General features: G+C 44.1%; 1 protein-coding gene across 5 annotated transcripts in view, besides 1 other annotated feature; it reads left to right on the plus strand.

Moving 5' to 3' along the window:
- The window catches only part of MARVELD2 (MARVEL domain containing 2), a 29215-nt gene extending 12603 nt beyond the window's left edge, over positions 1 to 16612 (plus strand). For all 5 annotated transcript variants that reach the window (XM_005248445.5, XM_005248447.5, XM_005248446.5 and 2 more), the window contains 4 exons: positions 4809 to 4957; positions 5204 to 5375; positions 12732 to 12782; positions 13814 to 16612. In XM_005248445.5, the coding sequence (XP_005248502.1) occupies positions 4809 to 4957; positions 5204 to 5375; positions 12732 to 12782; positions 13814 to 13936 (495 nt within the window). In that variant the 3' untranslated portion in view covers positions 13937 to 16612. The remainder of the gene's footprint in view (positions 1 to 4808; positions 4958 to 5203; positions 5376 to 12731; positions 12783 to 13813) is intronic.
- Positions 13892 to 14089: a silencer, noted in NCBI's record as "fragment chr5:68737437-68737634 (GRCh37/hg19 assembly coordinates)". NCBI's record gives its function as "represses an EF-1alpha promoter that drives an FKBP-Casp9 reporter gene in an ReSE screen in K562 erythroleukemia cells {active_cell/tissue: K562}" and the evidence as "EXISTENCE:reporter gene assay evidence [ECO:0000049][PMID:32094911]".

A 20348-nucleotide genomic window follows, 5' to 3' on the forward strand; every position in this document is an offset into this window, starting at 1 on the left:
TGTCTAAGAGTGGCCTTTCCCGTGCTGGAGCTTAATGCAGTCTTCCCACAAAAGCCTGACGAAGATTTAATTCTTTGTCTCATATGTGGTTTTAGATTTCTTCCCAATAGAGAACAGGTGCAGTGGCTCACGCCTGTAATCCGAGCACTTTGGGAAGCCAAAGCAGGTGGATCTCTTGAGGCCAGGAGTTTGGGACCAGCTTGGCCAACATGGTGAAACCCCATTTCTACTAAAAATACAAAAATTAGCCAGGCATGGTGGTGCATGCCTGTAATCCCAGCTACTCGGGAGGCTGAGGCAGGAGAGTGGCTTGAACTGGGAGGCAGAGGTGGCAGTGAGCAAAGATCGTGCCACTGCACTCCAGCCTGGGTGACAGAGCGAGACTATGTCTCAAAAAAAAAAAAGTTTTTTCCCAATAGAGTTTTCCAAACTGATGATCGGGAAGGTTCATCCAAAAAGAGCAGAAAAAAAGTTAAGACCATAAAAATAAAAAAAAATTTAGGCCGGGCATGGTGGCTCACACCTGTAATCCCAGCATTTTTGGAAGCCAAGGTGGGTGGATCACCAGAGGTCAGGAGTTTGAGACCAGCCTGGGCAACATGGCAAAATCCCATCTCTACTAAAAATACAAAAAATTAGCCGGGTGTGGTGGCGCAAGCCTGTAATCCCAGCTACTTGGGAGACTGAGGCGGGAGAATGACTTGAACCTGGAAGGTGGAGGTTGCAGTGAGCTGAGATCCAGATTGTTACCACTGCACTCCAGCCTGGGCAATAGTGCGAGACTGTCTCAAAAATAAATAAATTAAGTAATTAAAATAAATTTAAAGCAGATGAAATGTCTACATGGAAATATTCTGATTTCTTCAGGCTCCCTTTCTATATTAAAAGGTAAGTCTTACAATTAGGGATGGGCAAGTAAGAAAAATGATTAGTTCTTCCTTAAAAAAATTTTATGTAGAAAACAAATTAATGATGGACCTTCTGCCCAAAGCAGCTTTGACCAGGAGATCTGAGATTGATGCTGGGACTGCTGCTGAGATCCAGAGGATCAACAAGCTCATAGCAGCTTCCTCAGCACCATGAGATCTGGATTGTTAAACATTTAGGAGTTAAACCATGTGTCCATATGGGGGTCAAAAAAAATAAAACAGAAGTTAAAGAGAAATAGAAATTCATTTATTAAAGCCAAAAATGCTCCCCCTAATGTTTAATACCATTATTCGTTTTCAAGACTAAGTATATAGGAATTCATTAGGATGAAGAAATGGCATCCTAATCAGCAAGAAATACAGCAGAATAAATACTAACTTCAAAATGTGTTGCCTAAAAATATCCTGGCTTAATTTCATTTCCTCGGGGTACTCTGCTCGCCACTCATGTTTTTGCAGATTGGGAGACCAAGTGGCGAGGCATGCTTTCTACATCTAGGTGATCTGGCTTCTGTCCCACCTAGAGCCATGGTTGGAGAGCTTTTCCTTTTCATAACCTTCCCCTAGGGCTGGTTAGCAGCCTCCACACCTAATCCAATCTAAAGGGTGTGCTATTTGGTGAGTTAAAGTGCTAGTGGTTTTTAGAATGAGCTAATATTAAACCAAAGCCAGTTTCAGGGTAAGGAAATCAGGAAACAAAGGATTTTTAAAGCTTCCTGGCAAGATGAAGATTAAGGTTTTAAAATCCTGTTTGGTTTTTTATTTGCAGTGAAGTAGGGGCCCTCCCAAGCCACTCTCAGTTTAGTTCAGCAAGCATTTCTCGAAGGCTTAAGGGGTCAGTAGAGGGGAGGGAGGTTACTGCTCCAAAGAGGAATCATGTTCCCAAGCACGATCTTACTTTCCAGTAGCAGTATGGCATTGCTTGCCCTGTCCATCACAAGCTCACTTCTAGTGTGCTACTAGAACTTCATGCAACTTTAGGATATGAACAATATACATTTAAGCTAACAGGTTTCTTTATGTTATTCATTTAAAGTATCAATGAACCAGGTCAGGCACCGTGGCTCACACCTGTAACCCTAGCACTTTGGGAGGCCAAGGAGGGAGGATAGGTTGAGCCCAGGAGTTCGAGGCTGCAGTGAGCTATATGATCTCGCCACTGCACTCCAGCCTGGGTGGCACAGTGAGACTCTGTATCAAAAAAAAAAAAAAAAAAAAGTATCAATAAACCAAATAGTTCTGGGTTATTTATTTATTTATTTGTTTGTTTGTTTTTTGAGACAGGGTTTCACTCTGTCACCCAGGCTGAGTAGAGTGGCATGATCACGATTCACTACAGCCTTGACCTCCTGGGTTTAAGTAATCCTCCCACCTCAGACTCCCAAGTAGCCTGGACCACAGGTGCATGCCACCACACCCAGTTAATTTTTTATTTTTTGGCCAGGCACTGTGGCTCATGCCTGTAATCCTAGCACTTTGGGAGGCTGAGGTGGGTGGATTGCCTGAGCTCAGAAGTTTGAGACCAGACTAGGAAATATGGTGAAACCCCATCTCTACTAAAATACAAAAAATTAGCCAGTCATGGTGGTGTGCACCTGTAGTCCCAGCTATTCAGGAGGCTGAGGCAGGAGAATTGCTTAAACCTGGAGGCAGAGGTTGCAGTGAGTCGAGATCGTGCCACTGCACTCCAGCCTGGGCCACAGAACGAGACTCTGTCTCAAGAAAAAATATATTTTTTTAATTTTTTTTGTAGAGACAGCATCTCCCTATGTTGCCCAGGCTGGTCTCAAACATCTGGGCTCAAGCAGTCCTCCTGCTTTGGCCTCCCAAAGTGCTAGGATTACAGGAATGAGCTACTGCACGTGGCCTAGTTCTGGGTTTTATTTATTTATTTATTTATTTTTGAGACGGCGTCTCGCTCTGTCACCCAGGCTAGAGTGCAGTGGCACAATCTCAGCTCCTTGCCACCTCCGCCTCCCGGGCTCAAGCCATTCTCCTGCCTCAGCCTCCTGAGTAGCTGGGATTACAGGCGCACACCACCACATCCGGCTAATTTTTGTATTTTTAGTAGAGACAGGGTTTCACCATGTTGGCCAGGCTGGTCTTGAACTCCTGACATTAAATGATCCACCCCCCTCGGCCTCCCAAAGTGCTGAGATTACAGGCGTGAGCCACCTTGCCTGGCCCAGTTCTGGGTTTTAATTGTGGCTTTTCTACTTAATAGTTATGTGACCTTGGAGAATTGACTTGACCTCTCTGAACCTCACTTCTGTTTTTAATTTTTTTTTTTTAAGAGACAGGGTCTTGCTCTGATGCCCAGGCTGGAGTGCAGTGGACCATTCACAGCTCCCTGCAGCCTCGAACTCCTGGCCTCAAGTGATCCTCCCACCTCCCACCTCAGCCTCCCAAAGTGTTAGGCTTACACGTGTAAGCCCCTGCACCTGGCCTCAACCTCACTTCTTTTCTTTTCTTTTTTTTTTTTTTTGAGACAGAGTCTCACTCTGTTGCCCAGGCTGGAGTGCAGTGGCGTGATCTTGGCTCACTGCAAGCTCCGCCTCCTGGGTTCACACCATTGTCCTGCCTCAGCCTCCCAAGTAGATGGGATTACAGGCGCCCGCCACTATGCCCGGCTAATTTTTATATTTTTAGTAGAGACAGGGTTTCACCATGCTGGCCAGGCTGGTCTCGAACACCTGACCTCGTGATCCACCGACCTCGGCCTCCCAAGGTGCTGAGATTACAGGCATGAGCCACCGTGCCCGGCCAACTCATTTCCTTTTCTAATCCACTCAGTGGTTACTTACAATTAAATCATCCCAAATTGCCATTATCATTACTTTCTCTTTCCATTTAAGTAGGCTTGTTCCATTTTTATCCTTGAATTTATTTTGAATTACATTTTTTATTCTTTTACGTTTAGTTGGGGTGTAAATTCTAAATAGGTAAGTTCTTAAGACTGCGTGTTTGGCATTGCATCATCCACCTTTGACATGTACACGATTGGGGCTGGAGTGTGTTTTACCTACTGTGTATTACCATATCCCAAATGTGATTCCCTTAGCTATTACAGAAACGTTCAGAACAACTTTGTGACTATAAAACATATAATTGTGATGTGAAATGTTAACTCTTATTTCCACTTTTCTTCCTCCTGTCTTCCTCCCCATTTTCTTCTTCTTCTTCTTTTTTTTTTTTTTTTTTTTTTTTGAGCCAGAGTCTCACTCTATCGCCCAGGCTGGAGTGCAGTAATGCAATCACAGCTCACTGTAACCTCTACCTCCTGGACTCAAGCAATCCTCCCACCTCAGCCTCCAAGCCTCCCAAGTAGCTACTAGCGGACTACAGACACACACCGCTGCATCTGCCAGATTTTTTTTTTTTTAAACAGAGTCTCAGTCTGTCTCCCAAGCTGGAGTGCAGTGGTACAATCTTGGTTCACTGCAACCTCCACCTCCTGGGCCCAAGTGATTCTCCTGCCTCAGCCTCCCGAGGAGCTGGGATTATAGGCACCCGCCACCACTCCCAGCTAATTTTTGTATTTTTAATAGAGATGGGGTTTTACCATGTTGGCCAGGCTGGTTTCAAACTCCTGATCTCAAGTGGTCAGCCCACCTCGGTTTCCCAAAGTGCTGGGATTACAGGCGTGAGCCACTGTGCCTGGCCTTAAACTTTTTATAGAGACAGGGTCTTGCCATGTTGGCCAGGCTGGTCTTGAACTCCTGGCCTCATGTGATCCTCCGGCTTTGTCCTCCCAAAGTGCTAGGATTACAGGTTTGAGCCACCCCACCTGATCTTCTTCCTCATTTTCTAAGAATGAATTCAGAGGGTTTTTTTCTACTTATGTTTATTAACAAATCCTCTTTTTCTCCCTAACTGCAGTGTGAAATGGCCACCAGTGGTGACAGACAAAGAGACTCAGAAGTTAATTTCAAGGAACTGAGAACAGCAAAAATGAAACCTGAACTACTGAGTGGACACATCCCCCCAGGCCACATTCCTAAACCTATCGTGATGCCCGACTATGTGGCGTGAGTGTCAGTCTGAATTCTTCCTCAAGGTAGAAGTTGAGGGGCCCCATTTGGTCCTTTCATTTTCCAGTTTGTCTCCAAGTTAATACTCTGTGCTTAAAATCGTGTATGTAAATAGTTGTTATCTGAGAGGTAATGTATTGAATTGAAGGTACAATATGATCAGTAAGGAATAAGATAAGCTGATTTCCCATTCAGCTTCTTTTAGTGAAACAATTATATCTTTGGCTTATGTTTTTCCCCTAGAAAATACCCTGTGATTCAGACAGATGATGAGCGAGAACGCTATAAAGCTGTGTTCCAAGACCAGTTTTCAGAGTACAAAGAGCTGTCTGCAGAAGTTCAGGCTGTCCTGAGGAAGTTTGATGAGCTGGATGCAGTGATGAGCAGATTGCCACATCATTCGGAAAGCCGACAGGTTAGTATGTGCAGCTGCCTAGGAGGAGCACTGAAATCTAGAGGATGAATAAAATCTGGCTTTTTTTTTTTTTTTTTTTTTTTTCTGTGAGACAGAGTCTTGTTCTGTTGCCAGGCTGGAGTGCAGTGGCACAATCTTGGCTTGCTGCAACCTCCACCTCCTGGGTTCAAGCAATTCTCCTGCCTCAGCCTCCCGAGTAGCTGGGATTACAGGCACATGCCACCACACGTAGCTAATTTTTTTCTATTTTTAGTGGAGACGCGGTTTTGCCATGTTGGCCAAGAGTGGCCTCAAGTGATCCACCTGCCTTGGCCTCCCAGAGTGCTGGGATTACAGTCATGAGCCACCGCATTTGGCATAAAATCTGGCTTTTTTTTTTTTTTAAGGCTAGAATCTCACTCTGTCACCCAGGCTGGAGTGCAGTGGCGTGATCTTGGCTCACTGCAAGCTCCACCTCCCGAGTTCATGCCATTCTCCTGCCTCAGCCTCCCGAGTAGCTGGGACTAAGGCGCCTGCCACCACGCCCAGCTAATTTTTTTGTATTTTTAGTAGAGATGGGGTTTCACCGTGTTAGCCAGGATGATCTTGATCTCCTGACCTCGGGATCCACCTGCCTCGGCCTCCCAAAGTGCTGGGATTCAGGTGGGAGCCACCACGCCTGGCCCCCAAAATCTGGCTTTTAAAAAAATTTATAACCATTTACATCTGCTTTCTGTGTCTAGGAAAGCATTTGAGATCCTCAAGGTGTCTAGTCAAGATGACAATTCAAATTATGTAACTTAATATCTTTTGTCTTCAATTATTAAACAGTATTTCTTCTTTTTTTTTTTTCACTCTGTGCTTACCCATATTTTATTTTCTTACTTAAGTAAAATACGAATTTGCCTAAGATAGATACTGAGTCAGTCAGGGTCCCAAAGGAGACAGATAGCACATTCAAACTAGGATAATTCACAAAGGTTTATTCAGAAAGGGAATGTAGGGAAGCCACCAGGGGCATTGCATTCCCCTGCTAAGCCAGAGCCCAGCAGTTAGCACCCCAGGCCCAAAGGCAGAGCGCCCACTGAGTAAGAGTAGAGAGCAGAAATGGCCAGGCGCAGTGGCTTATGCCTGTAATCCCAACACTTTAAGAGGCCAAGGTGGGCAGATCGCTTGAGCCCAGGCATGCAAGACCAGCCTGGACAACATGGTGAAACCCTGTCTCTACAAAAAATATAAAAATTAGCCGGGCATGGTGGCATGCACCTGTAGACCCAGCAGGAGGCTGAGGTGCAAGGATTGCCTGAACCCAGGAGGTGGAGTTTGCAGTGAGCTGTGATTTTGTCACTACACTCCAGCCTGAAGGACAGAGTGAGACCATGTCTCCAAAAAAAAAAAAAAAAGCAAGCAGATATGAGATATGCTACAAATGTGAGCTGCTGGACACACACATCAGACAGGTAGCTGTGATTATGACAAAGAGGAAAACCAGGAGTAGATATGGTAGTTACAGAGGCTTAAGCTTTTTCGTAGTGCTCTTCCGCACCCCCCACATTTTTCACATTTTGAAATAGGAATATTGAAATAGGAATGCCTTATAACCTGTGCCATTTTTTAATTTTTATTTTATTTTATTTTTTTGAGATGGAGTTTTGCTCTTGTTGCCCAGGCTGGAGTGCCATGGCGCGATCTCGGCTCACTGCAACCTCTGCCTCCCGGGTTGAAGCGATTCTCCCACCTCGGCCTCCCAAGTAGCTGGGATTCAGGCATGCGCCACCATGCCCAGCTAATTTTGTATTTTTAGTAGAGACGGGGTTTCACCATGGTGGTTAGGCTGGTCTCAAACTCCTGACCTTATGATCCACCCGCCTTAGCCTCCCAAAGTGCTGGGATTACAGGCGTGAGCCACCGTGCCTGGCCACCTGTGCCATTTTTTAATCAGATGTACTCTTTTTTTTTTTTTTTTTTGAGATGGAGTCTTGCTCTGTCACCCAGACGGGAGTGCAGTGGTGCAATCTCGGCTCACTGCAACCTTTGCCTCCCAGGTTACGCGATTCTCCTGCCTCAGCTTCCTGAGTAGATGGGACTATAGGTGCACACCCGGCTAATTTTTGTATTTTTAGTAGAGGCAGGGTTTCCCCATTTAGGCCAGGCTGGTCTCGAACTCCTGACCTCAGGTGATCCACCTACCTCAGCCTCCCAAAGTGCTGGTATTACAGGCATGAGCCACTGCATCCGGCCCAGATGTACTCTTTTTAATTGAGATCTCATTCACATATAATAAACCCACCCTTTTAAAGTGTACAATTCAGTGAATTTTAGTATAGTTACAGAGTTTTGCAATCAGCACCACTCAAATTCCACAACAGTTTTATCACCCCAAAAAGAAACCCTATATTGGCTGGGTGTGGTGGCTCATGCCTGTAATCTCAGCAGTTTGGGATGCTGAGGCAGGCAGATCACTTGAGGTCAGGAATTCGAGACCAGCCTGGCCAACATGGTGAAATGCTGTCTCTACTAAAAGTACAAAAATTAGTTGGGCATGTTGGCAGGCTGAGTAATCTCAGCTACTTGGGAGGCTGAGGCAGGAGAATCACTTGAACCCAGGAGGTGGAGGTTGCAGTGGGCCAAGATTGCGCCACTGCACTCCAGCCTGGGCAACAGAGTGAGACCCTGTCTCAAAAAAAAAAAAAAAAAAAAAAAAAATGAAACCCTTTACGAATTAGCAGTTATTTCCCATTCTCAGCTCTGTCCAACCATTGACAACCACTAATCTACTTTCTGTCCGAATGGATTTGCCTAGTTTGAACATTTCATATCAATCTTTTGTGTCTGGCTTCTTCATTTTGCATAATGTTTTCAAGGTTCATCCATATTTTAGCATAAGTCAATACATATTCCTTTTTGTGGTGGAATAATATTCTGCTATATGGATATACCACATTTTGTTTATCCATTTATCAAGAGATAGACATTTGGTCATTTCCAAATGTCTATATAGTCATTTCCACTCATTGGCTGTTACGAATAATGCTGGTATAAATATTTGTGTAATATTCTGTCTTTTTAAAAGAGGCTGTATTAATCTATTACATGTATGATTAAATTTTAAAAACACAGCTTTGTAAAAACTAAATGTCGGTCTGGCTGTGGTGGCACATGCCTGCAGTCCCAGCTACTTGGGAGGCTGAGGCAGGCAAGTCGTGTGAACCCGGGAGGCGGAGGTTGCAGTGAGCCAAGATCATGCCACTGCACTCCAGCCTGGGCGACAGAGCCAAAAAAAACCAAAAAACAAACAAAAAAAACTAAATGTCAAATTTATGTATGGGAACACACACACACACACACACACACACACACACACACACACACACACACACATATATATAAATTTTTTACCTGAGAAGTTAGGTGTCTTTGTTTCAATCACAGACTCTTTGTTAAGTGTGCATTTAAATCACTTATCGTTATGAGTTAACTAAGCCAAATGTGTATTACAGTAACATTTTCCTAATCCTGGAGCAATGGAATGGTGTTGGCTAAGAGACGCCAGTACCAGGAAGCAAGAGAAATTCAGCAAATATTGAGGTTGAATGTCAGTACCATTTGGAAAATAAGCAAGGCCCACAGGTCTAAGAAGGGTGACCTAGTCTCTCAGAGGCCGTCAAAGGAGTGCAGGAAGGCATGAGGCCCCAGGAATCTGGATCAGCACAGGCTGGGAAATGCAGGCTTGTTGGGAGAAATAATGAAGAAAATCCTGACCTGTAAGGCCGGGTGTGGTGGCTCACACCTGTAATCCTAGCAGTTTGGGAGGCTGAGGCGGGCAGATCACCTGAGGTTGGGAGTTCCAGACCAGCCTGACCAACATGGAGAAACCCCATCTCGGCCAGGCACAGTGGCTCATGCCTGTAATCCCAGCACTTTGGGAGGCCAAGGTGAAACCGCGTCTCTACTAAAAATACAAAAATTAGCCAGGCATGGTGGTGTGTGCCTGTAATTCCAGCTACTCAGGAGGCAGAGACAAGAGAATTGCTTGAACCCGGGAGTCGGAGGTTGCAGTGAGCTGAGATCGTGCCACTACACTCCAGCCTGGGCGACAGAGCAAGACTTCATCTCAAAAAAAAAAAAAAAAGAAACCATCCCAACTAAAAATACAAAATTAGCCGCACGTGGTGGTGCATGTGTGTAATCCCAGCTACTCGGGAAGTCTGAGGCAGGAGAATCGCTTGACCCAGGAGGCGGAGGCTCTGGTGTGCCAAGATCGCGCCATTGCACTCCAGCCTGGGCAACAAGAGCGAAACTCTGTCTTAAAAAAAAAAAAAAAAAAAAAAGCTGGGTGCGGTGGCTCACACCTGTAATCCCAGCACTTTGGGAGGCCGAGGCAGGCGGATCATGAGGTCAGGAGATCGAGACCAGCCTGGCCAGCATAGTGAAACCCCGTCCCTACTAAAAATACAAAAAATTAGCCGAGCATGGTGGTGGGCGCCTGTAATCCTTGCTACTCGGGAGGCTGAGGCAGGAGAATGGCTTGAACCTGGGAGGCGGAGGTTGCAGTGAGACGAGATTGTGCCATTGCACTCCAGCCTGGGTGACAGAGTGAGACTCTGTCTCAAAAAAAAAAAACAAAGAAAATCTTGACCTTGACCTGTAATCTTTGAGCCAACACCCAGTGGTATCTGGTTTGTGTGCTTTGTATGAATGGACAAGGGCTGCAGCACATGGTCTGCAGTTGGGAAATCAAGAGGGTCCTGATGACAGTACAGGTTGAGAGACCAAGTCTTCCCATGATGTTTCCACACAATATCAACAACAGCCATTACCTGTGATTTTTAACAAGACAGGGCTTGTAAGTAACCCAATGGCAGGCCCACGGTTATTATTATCAGTGTATCCTCCAGTCCTTATCTAAAGTAGAAATATTAACCATATTACAAAAGTTAGCTTCTCCTTGGCCACAGGCTGAGCTTTGTCCTGGGCAGGAGTCCACAGGCTCATTCGTTTTCCCACCATGTCCCCATGGAAGCATGTGAGGCATTTCAAAGCCCAGTGGGCCTGTTTGGAGGCAGGTTCTCCCACAGACATGGTTGTGCACCACTGAAAAATAGTCACATGACTTTTCTGAGCCCATAAAGTAGAAATATTGCCCCAAACAATCCCTCTGGTCCTCACCACTCCTTAAATTCAGTGACAGACTCTAGATGGATGTTACAGCTCATCTCTGCCTGCATCTCCAGCACAGCAGTGCTAACCCCAATAGCAAGTTTATTCCTTGTCCAGGATCTGTTATTACAGATTACAATTAAATCACCAGGTTTATCTTCACTGCTGGCAAGCATTCAAAACACAAACATACTCATGATCTCAGTATGTAAAAGAGATTGAAGAATTAAAATAGTTCAGGCAAGGGGGCTCATGGCTGTAATCCCCACACTTTGAGAGACAAGGCAGGAAGAGTGCTCAAAGCCAGGAGTTCAAGATGAGCTTGGGCAACATAGCAAGACTGCATCTACACACAAAAAAGTAAAAGTTAGCGGCCGGTCATGGTGGCTCACACCTGTAACCCCAGCACTTTGGGAGGCCGAGGTGGGTGAATCACAAGGTCAGGAGTTCGAGACCAGCCAGGCCAACATGGTGAAACCCCATCTCTACTGAAAATACAAAAAATTAGCTGGGCGTAGTGGCAGGTGCCTGTAATCCCAGCTACTCGGGAGGCTGAGGCAGGAGAATCACTTGAACCTAGGAGGCGAAGGTTGCAGTGAGCCGAGATCGCACCACTGCACTCCAGCCTGGGTGACAGAATTGAGACTCCATCTCAAAAATAAAAAAAAATAAATATAAATAAAAATTAGCCAGGCCTGGTGATGTGCCGTATAATCCCAGCTACTTGGGAGGCTGAGACAGGAGGATCACTTGAGCCCAAGAAGTTTTGGTTACAGTGAGCTATTACACCACTGCCTTCCAGCTTGGGCAACAGAGCAAGACCCTGTCTCAAAAAAAAAAAAAAAAAAAGAAGAAGAAAATATACTGGGAAAAGGATATGGGTCAGTGATAGAAAAAGTTCTCAGGCCAAGCTTTTATTTTATTAGTTTTTTATTTATTTATTTATTTTTGAGACAGAGTCTCTGTTGCCCAGGCTGGAGTGCAGTGGCGTGATCTTGGCTCACTGCAACCTCCGCCTCCTGGGTTCAAGTGATTCTACTGTCTCAAACTCCTAAGTAGCTGAGATTACAGGTGCCCGCCACCATGCCTGGCTAATTTTTGTATTTTTAGTAGAGATGGGGTTTCGCCATGTTGGCCAGGCTGGTCTTGAACTCCTGATCTCAGGTGATCCACCCGCCTCAGCCTCCCAAAATGCTGGGATTACAGGTGTAGGGCAAGCTTTTAGAACTATAAATTACTGGCTGGGCACAGTGGCTCATGCGTGTAATCCCAGTACTTTGGGAGGCCAAGGTGGGTGGATCACTTGAGGCCAGGAGTTCGAGACCAGCCTGGGAAACATGGCAAAACTCCATCTCTACTAAAAATACAAAAATTAGCTGGGCATGGTGATGCACACCTATAATTCCAGCTACTTGGGAGGCTGAGGCTCAATAACAGCTTGAGCCAGAGAGGTGGGAGTTGCAGTGAGCTGAGATCACGCCACTGTACTCCAGCCTGGGCGACAGAGGGAGACTGTCTTAAAATGAAAAAAAAAACGCTGTAAATTATTATATTTATTTATTTATTAGGTTTGCATTGTCTGACAATCTCTATGCATAGGTTTGCATGGATGAACGAGGGCATTGCTATAGTAATGTGTTCCCTTTGGATAGGCCGTTCAACTCCTTAACAAAGTTCGTATTTATTATAAAACTTAGAAAAAAGTTACAAGGAGCCTTATATTAGCTATTTTCAAAAGTTGCATACTCTCAAACTTCTTAATCCCAACACCTAATAACTCAAAAAAGAACTTTCCAAAAAGGATGAACATAATCATAGCTAATGTGGTTATTATGTGGCAAGCACTTTATAAGGATCATTTCAAATAAGTGAACCTTCTTACAACCCTTTGAGATCATTATGGTTTTATTTCCATTTTACCAGTAAGGAAACTGAACTTGCCAGCTGTATGACCCTGGGCAAGCTATGTATCCTCCCTAAGGGCCTGGGGCTTGGGTCTGGTTGCATGTGGTCAGGGCCCTTTCTCTCTTTTATCGCCTGGGCCTAGCAGACAGTAAGCCTTCAAATATTTGCCTGTGAATTGAATTTTTGTGTGTGAATGTTTTCATTATTTTCTTAGGTAAAAATTATTTTTTGTTCTAATTCTCAGTGTGCTTTGAGATATGATTTGAGTAAATGCAAATGTTTTAACTTAAGTATACAATGTATTATTTTTAGGAACATGAGAGAATTTCAAGAATCCATGAAGAGTTTAAGAAAAAAAAGAATGTGAGTAAAACAGTTTTCTTCAAACTGTATTCTTATCCAAGTACATATGTGATAATTTACAGACTCTAGATTCTGTTAGCTAAAATAGTTCCTTTTTGTATTTCATGGGATGCTCCTTTTAAGAGAAAATGGCTGCTGGATGCCATTTCTTCTCATGTCTGCTCTGAATACATTTTGCTGTGTCCTGATTTAGCAACCTAGAGAAATGAGCATTGATCAGGAATTCTCCACCTGTTCCTTCAAAAAGATGAACTGATTTTACATCTTTCCAACTCTAACTTAATCTCAAAATCAGTAGAGGTGGCTGGACACTGGCTCAGGCCTGTAATCCCAGCACTTTGGGAAGCCAAGGCGAGTGGAACGCTTGAGCCCAGGAGTTTGAGACCAGCCTGGGCAACATGGCGAAACCTTGTCTCTACAAAAAAATACAAGCATTAGCCGGTAGTGGTGGCACACGCCTGTAGCCCCAGCTACTTGGGAGGCTGAAGTGGGAGGATCACTTGTGCCTGGGAGGCAGAGGTTGCACTGGGAGACAGTACGCCACTGCACTCTAGCCTGGGCAACAAAGTGAAACCCTGTCTCAAAAAGAAAAAAAAAATCAGTAAAGGCTGGAGAGACCGTTTATTAGTATTTTCTATACTTATTACTTTTTCTTTTTTTTTAAAGAGATGGGGTCTTGGCATGTTGCCTAAGCTGGCCTCAAATACCTGGGCTCAAGCAATCCTTCCACCTCAGCCTCCTGAGTTGCTGGGACTACAGGCACATGCCACTGTACCTGGCTTTATCAGATATTAAAATGAAAGGTGTCTTAGCACTTTGTACTTCTGCTTGATTTTGCTGTGAACCTAAAACTGCTCTAAAAAAAAAAGTACATTTAAAAAATATGTAGAGAGCTTAACTGTTACCCTGAGTTCAGAATCTGCTGTAGAGACTTTTGCTATGTATGATCATTTCCTGGGTGACAATGTATGTTTCTGTGTTTTTCACTGAGGAAGCCAGGAGCCAAAATAATACTTATATTTCTTTTACAGGATCCTACATTTCTGGAAAAAAAAGAACGCTGTGATTACCTAAAGAATAAACTTTCTCACATAAAGCAAAGAATTCAAGAATATGATAAAGTAATGAATTGGGATGTACAAGGTTATTCTTAACGCTTATTTGAAACCACTTTATTTTTTTATTTTATTTTATTTTTTTGAGATGAAGTCTCGCTCTGTTACCCAGGCTGGAATGCAGTGGCACAATCTCGGCTCACTGCAACCTCCACCTCCCGGGTTCAAGCAATTCTCCTGTTCAAGCAATTAGCCTCCCCAGTAGCTGGGATTACAGGCGTGCGCTGCCACACCCCGCTAATTTTTGTATTTTTAGTAGAGACGAGGTTTCACCATGTTGGTCAGGCTGGGAAACTACTTTTTTTAAAAAATAGCAAGTTTACTATTTATTTACTGCCTTTTTAATGCTAGCCTCTGTGGTAGAGAAGCAAGCGCTTCCCAAATCAGCTTCCAATTGGTTTAACCAGTATGCAACATTAAAGATTTTACTCAGACATTTTTAAACGAATTCAAATGTTCTAAGGGCCTTTACTAAGAATGGAAAAAATCCTGTGTTCATCTTTCATCTGTGACCAATTTCATATTCATCTATCTCATTTAAATGTGTCATCATTTTAGAGATCGTATCCTGGCAGTGTGATGGGCAAGTGGACCATCAATTCTGGTGCTACTTTTTCCTTTTTTACTCAGGCAGGTTCCTAGGATTTTTCTGGGACAAATTTCTCTTCCTAGAGAAATTCCTAGGGGATTTCTAAAGGATTTTTCTAAGGGAAAAAGGGTGACATCTTTCAAAGGTGTCATTTATTCCCTTGAAAGGTGTTTGAATCCCAGATCAACATTTTCAGACATCCTGATCTTGGGCAAATTGCTTAATCTCTCTGTGCCTGTTTCCTCTTCTGTAAAATGGGGCTAATAATAGTTCCTTCCTCATAGAGTTGTTAGGATTAAAGGAGTTACTAATATGGTAGGAACTATATTAGTGTTTGTGAAGTCTACTGAAGTGTTTGTGAAATGAATAAATTATAAAGAATGAGTCTCAAGAAAAGGTCCTTAATGAGCAAGCCCAACCTACTTAACCAAAAGCCCAAGTGTCTGGTGCCTTTCTGGTTTGTGGTGTTAACTCATGGCCTTAGCCTGGTGCTTCACTGTGGCTCTGTGGCCCCTGGGGTTCCACATGGCCTCCCTGTCTTTCATCAGTGTGACTGTACATCTCTCCATCTCCCCATAGTCCAGCCTGCCCTGGACACATTGAATTGTATGAATGGTATTGCTTTTTTTTTTTTTTTTTTGTGAGACAGAGTCTTACTCTGTTGCCCAGACTGGAGTGCAGTGGTGCGATCTCGGCTCACTGCAAGCTCCGCCTCCCAAGTTCACGTCATTTTCCTGCCTCAGCCTCCCGAGTAGCTGGGACTACAGGCACCTGCCACCACGCCCAGCTAATTTTTTTGTATTTTTAGTAGAGATGGGGTTTCACCGTGTTAGCCAGGATGATCTCGATCTCCTGACCTCATGATCCACCCGCCTCAGCCTCCCAAAGTGTTGGGATTACAGGCGTGAGTCACCGCGCCCAGCTGGTATTGCTTTTCTATTCCCTTTGGACATACATGCTACAGTCCCACAATGTAGCATTTCCTTGGAAACTCCCTTTTTTTTTTTTTTTGAGATGGAGTTTCGCTCTTGTTGCCCAGGCTGGAGTACAGTGGTATGATCTTGGCTCACTGCAGCCTCTGCCTCCTGGGTTCAAGCGATTCTCCTGCCTCTGCCTCCCAAGTAGCTGGGATTACAGGCACCCACCACCATGCCCAGCTAATTTTTTGTATTTTTAGTAGAGACAGGATTTCACTATGTTGGCCAGGTTGGTCTCAAGCTCCTGACCTCAGATGATCTACCAGCCTCGGCCTTCTGAAGTGCTGGGATTCAGGTGTGAGCCACTGTGCCCAGCAGGGATGCTTCATCTTTCTAAGAATTATCTTGGCTTTGGACTTTATTCATAAATGTTTTATTTCTGTTAGTATGAACAATAGACTGCCTTAACAAAGTTTTTTTTTAAACAAAATCGTTCTTGTTGGATTTTATTCAGCAGCATCTATCATGTAGATAAATTCCCAGGTGTAGCATTACAGCTTCTGACTAATATAGCTGCCATTCAGACAATTAATGTTCAAAGAGTTTTCTAAAGTGATAAAACCAAAGAAAAGCATGTGGAAAAGCAGAAGCTTAGAAAGTTGTGGTCACTGAATGCACTCCCTGGTTTTTATTTGTCAGTGAAATCTTTATGCATTCATTGTTAATATTTTAATTCCATGGCTTTGTAGGCTGTGCTGTGTCTGAAGGGGTAACACCTAGGGAAACATGAGGCCCCTTATGGGACCCCCCAAATGGAACAACTTCACTTTCTCTTTTATGTATTGAGCCCTGTGTTAACATTTCACTTAAGAAGAGCACCAGTGCTTTAAAAAAAAAAAAAGGTAAAATATTACCATTTTGATAGACTGTAAAGAGTTAGATTCCTGTTGAAGTGTTAAGGAAATTTAACTTTGTGAAACTTTTAAAATAAAGTTTATAAATGTAGCTAATCTTTGAAAAACCAATGCAGTAACACTGATTTGTAAATGTTGTGGTCAATCCCTAGGTGCATTAAAGTTTCAGTCACCTGCCGTGTGTGTGTGTGCCCTTTTATGTTTGCCTTCCTAGCATTCCTGTGTTCACTGTGCATGTTCTTGAAAATATTTTCACTTGTCAGAAAATAAACTGGAAAGTCATTGAAAACCCGTAGGTCACGATGCTCAGGTGACTCACTGTTTCTCCTTCCCCCATTATTCGCAATAATTCAAAGTCCAGGCCACTATATTAGTTTCCTAGGACTGCCATGACAATGTACTACAAACTGAGTGGCTCAAAACAACTGAAGTGTGTTGTCTCACAGACCTGCAGCCTAGAAGTCTGGAAGCAGGGTGTCAGCTGGGACATGCTCCCTCAAAAACCTGTAGGGGAGTCCTCTTCTAGTTTCTGGTGGTTTGCTGGCCATGTTTGATGTTCCTTGGCTTGTAGATGCATCTCTCCAATCCTCCATTCTCGCATGGCCTTCTCCCTGTCTGGCCATACCAGTCATATTGGATGAGAGGCCCACCTTCTCCAGCATGACCTCCTGTGAACTCATTACATTTGCTAGGACGCTATTTCCAAGTAAAGTCACGTTCTGAGGTACTGGAGGTTAGGAACTTCAGTGTTATCTTTTTGAGAGGCCACAGTTTAGCCTGTAATAGCTACATTTGGCAAGTTACAAGATTCAGAAGGAAAAGTACTTCCCTGTACATTTTCTTTCTTCCATATTATTTTTTCTTTTATTTTTTGTGATGGAGACTCACTCTGTCGCCCAGGCTGGAGTGCAGTAGTGTGATTGGCTCACTGCAACCTCTGCCTCCTGGGTTCAAGCTAGTCTCCTGCCTCAGCCTCCCAAGTAGCTGGGATTACAGGCACTCACCACCACACCCAGCTAAATTCTATATTTTTAGTAGAGACAGGGTTTCATCTTATGTTGGCCAGGCTGTTCTCGAACTCCTGACCTCAAGTGATCTGCCCGCCTCGGCCTCCCAAAGCAATTCCCCTGCCTCAGCCTTCCAAAGTGCTGGGATTACAGGTGTGAACCACTGCACCCAGCCCTTCCATATTATTTCAACATGTATTCTAATTTGAAAATTAATATGAGGATATGTCAGTATATCTAAAACTTGAAAAAAGTATATGCCAGTTATATGTCAAATGCTTTTATTGTCCCAGATATGTTAGCATTAAAGATACTGAAATCAGTGAAACAGGTAGAGACTTTGGGGGTGGTAATGAAGTACATATTTCTAGAAATTGTTTCTGATATTGAGATGCACCGACATTTGAAAGATACAACACAGGAAAAGTCTACAATTTTTTCTGACCATCTTTTTTTAACTATTATAATTTTTAAAAATAATGAGTATAAAAGCTTAGAAAACAAAAGTCCTACCAGTACCAATTCTATTCCCTGGCAGTATATACTGTTTGCAGTATACCCTCCCAGACCTTTGTGGTGTGTATAATCACCTTTATTTATTTATTTATTTATTTATTTTTACAAAAATGGCTTTAGACATTTTATTTTTGAGATGAAGTATTGCTCTGTCGCCCAGGCTGGAGTGCAGTGGCATGATCTTGGCTCACTGCAACCTCCCCCTCCTGGGTTCAAGTGACCCTCCCACCTCAGCCTCCTGAGCAATGAGGACTACAGACGCATACCACCACGCCCAGCTAATTTATGTATTTTTAATAGAGATGTGATTTTGCTGTGTTGGCCAGGCTGATCTTGAACTCCTGACCTCAAGTGATCTGCCCACCTTGGCCTCCCAAAGTGCTGGGATTACAGGCATGAGCCACCACACCTGGCTGTAAAATCACTTTAAAATTGTCTACTTTAATGCTTTCAATGGGTTTCTTTTTTGGGATTGTTGTTGTTGTTTTGATATGGAGTCTTGCTCTGTTGCCCAGGCTGGAGTGTAGTGGTGCTACCTCCGCTCACCACAACCACCACCTCCTGGGTTCAAGCAATTCTCCTGCCTCCGCCTCCTGAGTAGCTGGGATTACAGGCGCACACCACCATGCCCAGCTAATTTTTGTATTTTTAGTAGAGACAGGGTTTCACCATGCTGGCCAGGCTGGTCTTGAACCCCTGACCTCAAGTGATCTACCTGCCTTGGCCTCCCAAAGTGCTGGGATTACAGGCATGAGCCACCATGCCCGGCTGCTTTCAATGGGTTTTTAAAGGAGAGTATGACAGACCTGCTCGAGCATGTAATAGACTACTTGTCCTATAATAGACAAACTGGGGATAGGCAGAAGGCAGGAGGGATGGTTTAGCCCCGCAGAAGGCGAAGAAGGTGAACTTCTGAGCTCATCACAACCAAGACTCCATTTCTTACTATGTGGCCTTGACAAATTAACATCTCCAACCATCAGCCTCCTTAACTGTGATGTGGCGATAATACCACCTGACGAAATTGTTGTGAAAATTAAATAATGTAAAACACCACGAAGATACTTGCTCAATAACTGGTGGCTAGATACTCAAAATATACTTTTCATTGTGTTAAATAATAAGGTGGCTATAGACTATCAAAATGACTTCTTTTGAATAATAAAAGTTATAAAAAGCTTTTTTAAAAAGTATATAGGTAATATATTTATTATAGAAAATTGATTAGGTCAGGGGTGGTGGCTCATGCCAGTAACCCCAGCCCTTTAGGAGGCTGATGTGGGTGGATCACTTGAAGCCAGGAGTTTGAGAACAGCCTGGCCAACATGGCAAAAACCCTTCTCTGCTGAAAATACAAAAATTAGCTGGGCGTGTTGTCGCACACTGTAGTCCCTGGAGGTAGTCCCGGGAGGCTGAGGCACGAGAACCGCTTGAACCTCAGAGGTGGAGGTTGCAGTGAGCTGAGATCGTGCCACTGCACCCCAGCCTGGGCGACAGAGCAAGACTCTGTCTCAGAAAAAAAAAAAAAAAAGTACAAAAATTAGCCTGGTGTGGTGGTGCACGCCTGTAATCTCAGCTACTCGAGAGGTTGAGGCATGAGAATTGCTTGACCCCAGGAGGTGGAGGTTGCAGTTAGCTGAGACCATGCCACTGCACTGCAGCCTGGGTGACAGAGTAAGACTCTGCAGAAGGAAGGGAAGGGAAGGGAGGGGAGGGGAGGGGAGGGGAGGGGAGGGGGAAAGAGAAAGAAGAAAGAGAAAGAAGGAAGGAGAGAAAGAGAGAGGAAGGGAGGGAGGGAGGGAAAGAGAAAAGAAAGAGAAAGAAGAAAAGAAAGAAGAAAGAAAAAGAAGAAAAGAAGGAAGGAAGGGAAGAGAGAGAGAGAGAAAGGAAGGAAGGAAGGAAAGAAAGAAGAGAGGCCAGGTGCGGTGACTCACGCCTGTAATCCCAGTACTTTGGGAGGCTGAGGCAGGCGGATCAAGAGGTCAGGAGATCGAGACTGTTCTGGCTAACATGGTGAAACCGCGTCTCCACTAAAAATACAAAAAATTTAGCTGGGCTTGGTTGCGGGCACTTGTAGTCCCAGCTACTCGGGAGGCTGAGGCAGGAGAATGGCGTGAACCCGGGAGGCGGAGCTTGTAGTGAGCCGAGATCGCGCCACCACACTTCAACCTGGGCAACAGAGCAAGACTCAGTCTCGGAAAAAAAAAAAAAAAAAGAAAGTTATTTTGAAACTCCAACCTCTGATGATAGAATTCAGAATAGGGGTTACCTGTGAGAGAGGTTTATTGGCTGGGAAGGAGCATGAGGGAGCTTTCTGGGTACTATACCTTCATCTGGTTCGTTGCTTACCAGGATATATACATATTTAAAAATCCATCAAGCTAAGCATTTAAAATTGGTGCCTTTTACTGTACATATATTATACATGTATTTTACCTCAATTTTTTTTCTTTTTTAAGACGGAGTCTCTCTCTGTTGCCCAGGCTGGAGTGCAGTGGCGCAATCTCG

Source organism: Homo sapiens, chromosome 5 (genome assembly GCF_000001405.40).
Source record: "Homo sapiens chromosome 5, GRCh38.p14 Primary Assembly".
In the NCBI taxonomy this organism is placed as follows: domain Eukaryota; kingdom Metazoa; phylum Chordata; class Mammalia; order Primates; family Hominidae; genus Homo; species Homo sapiens.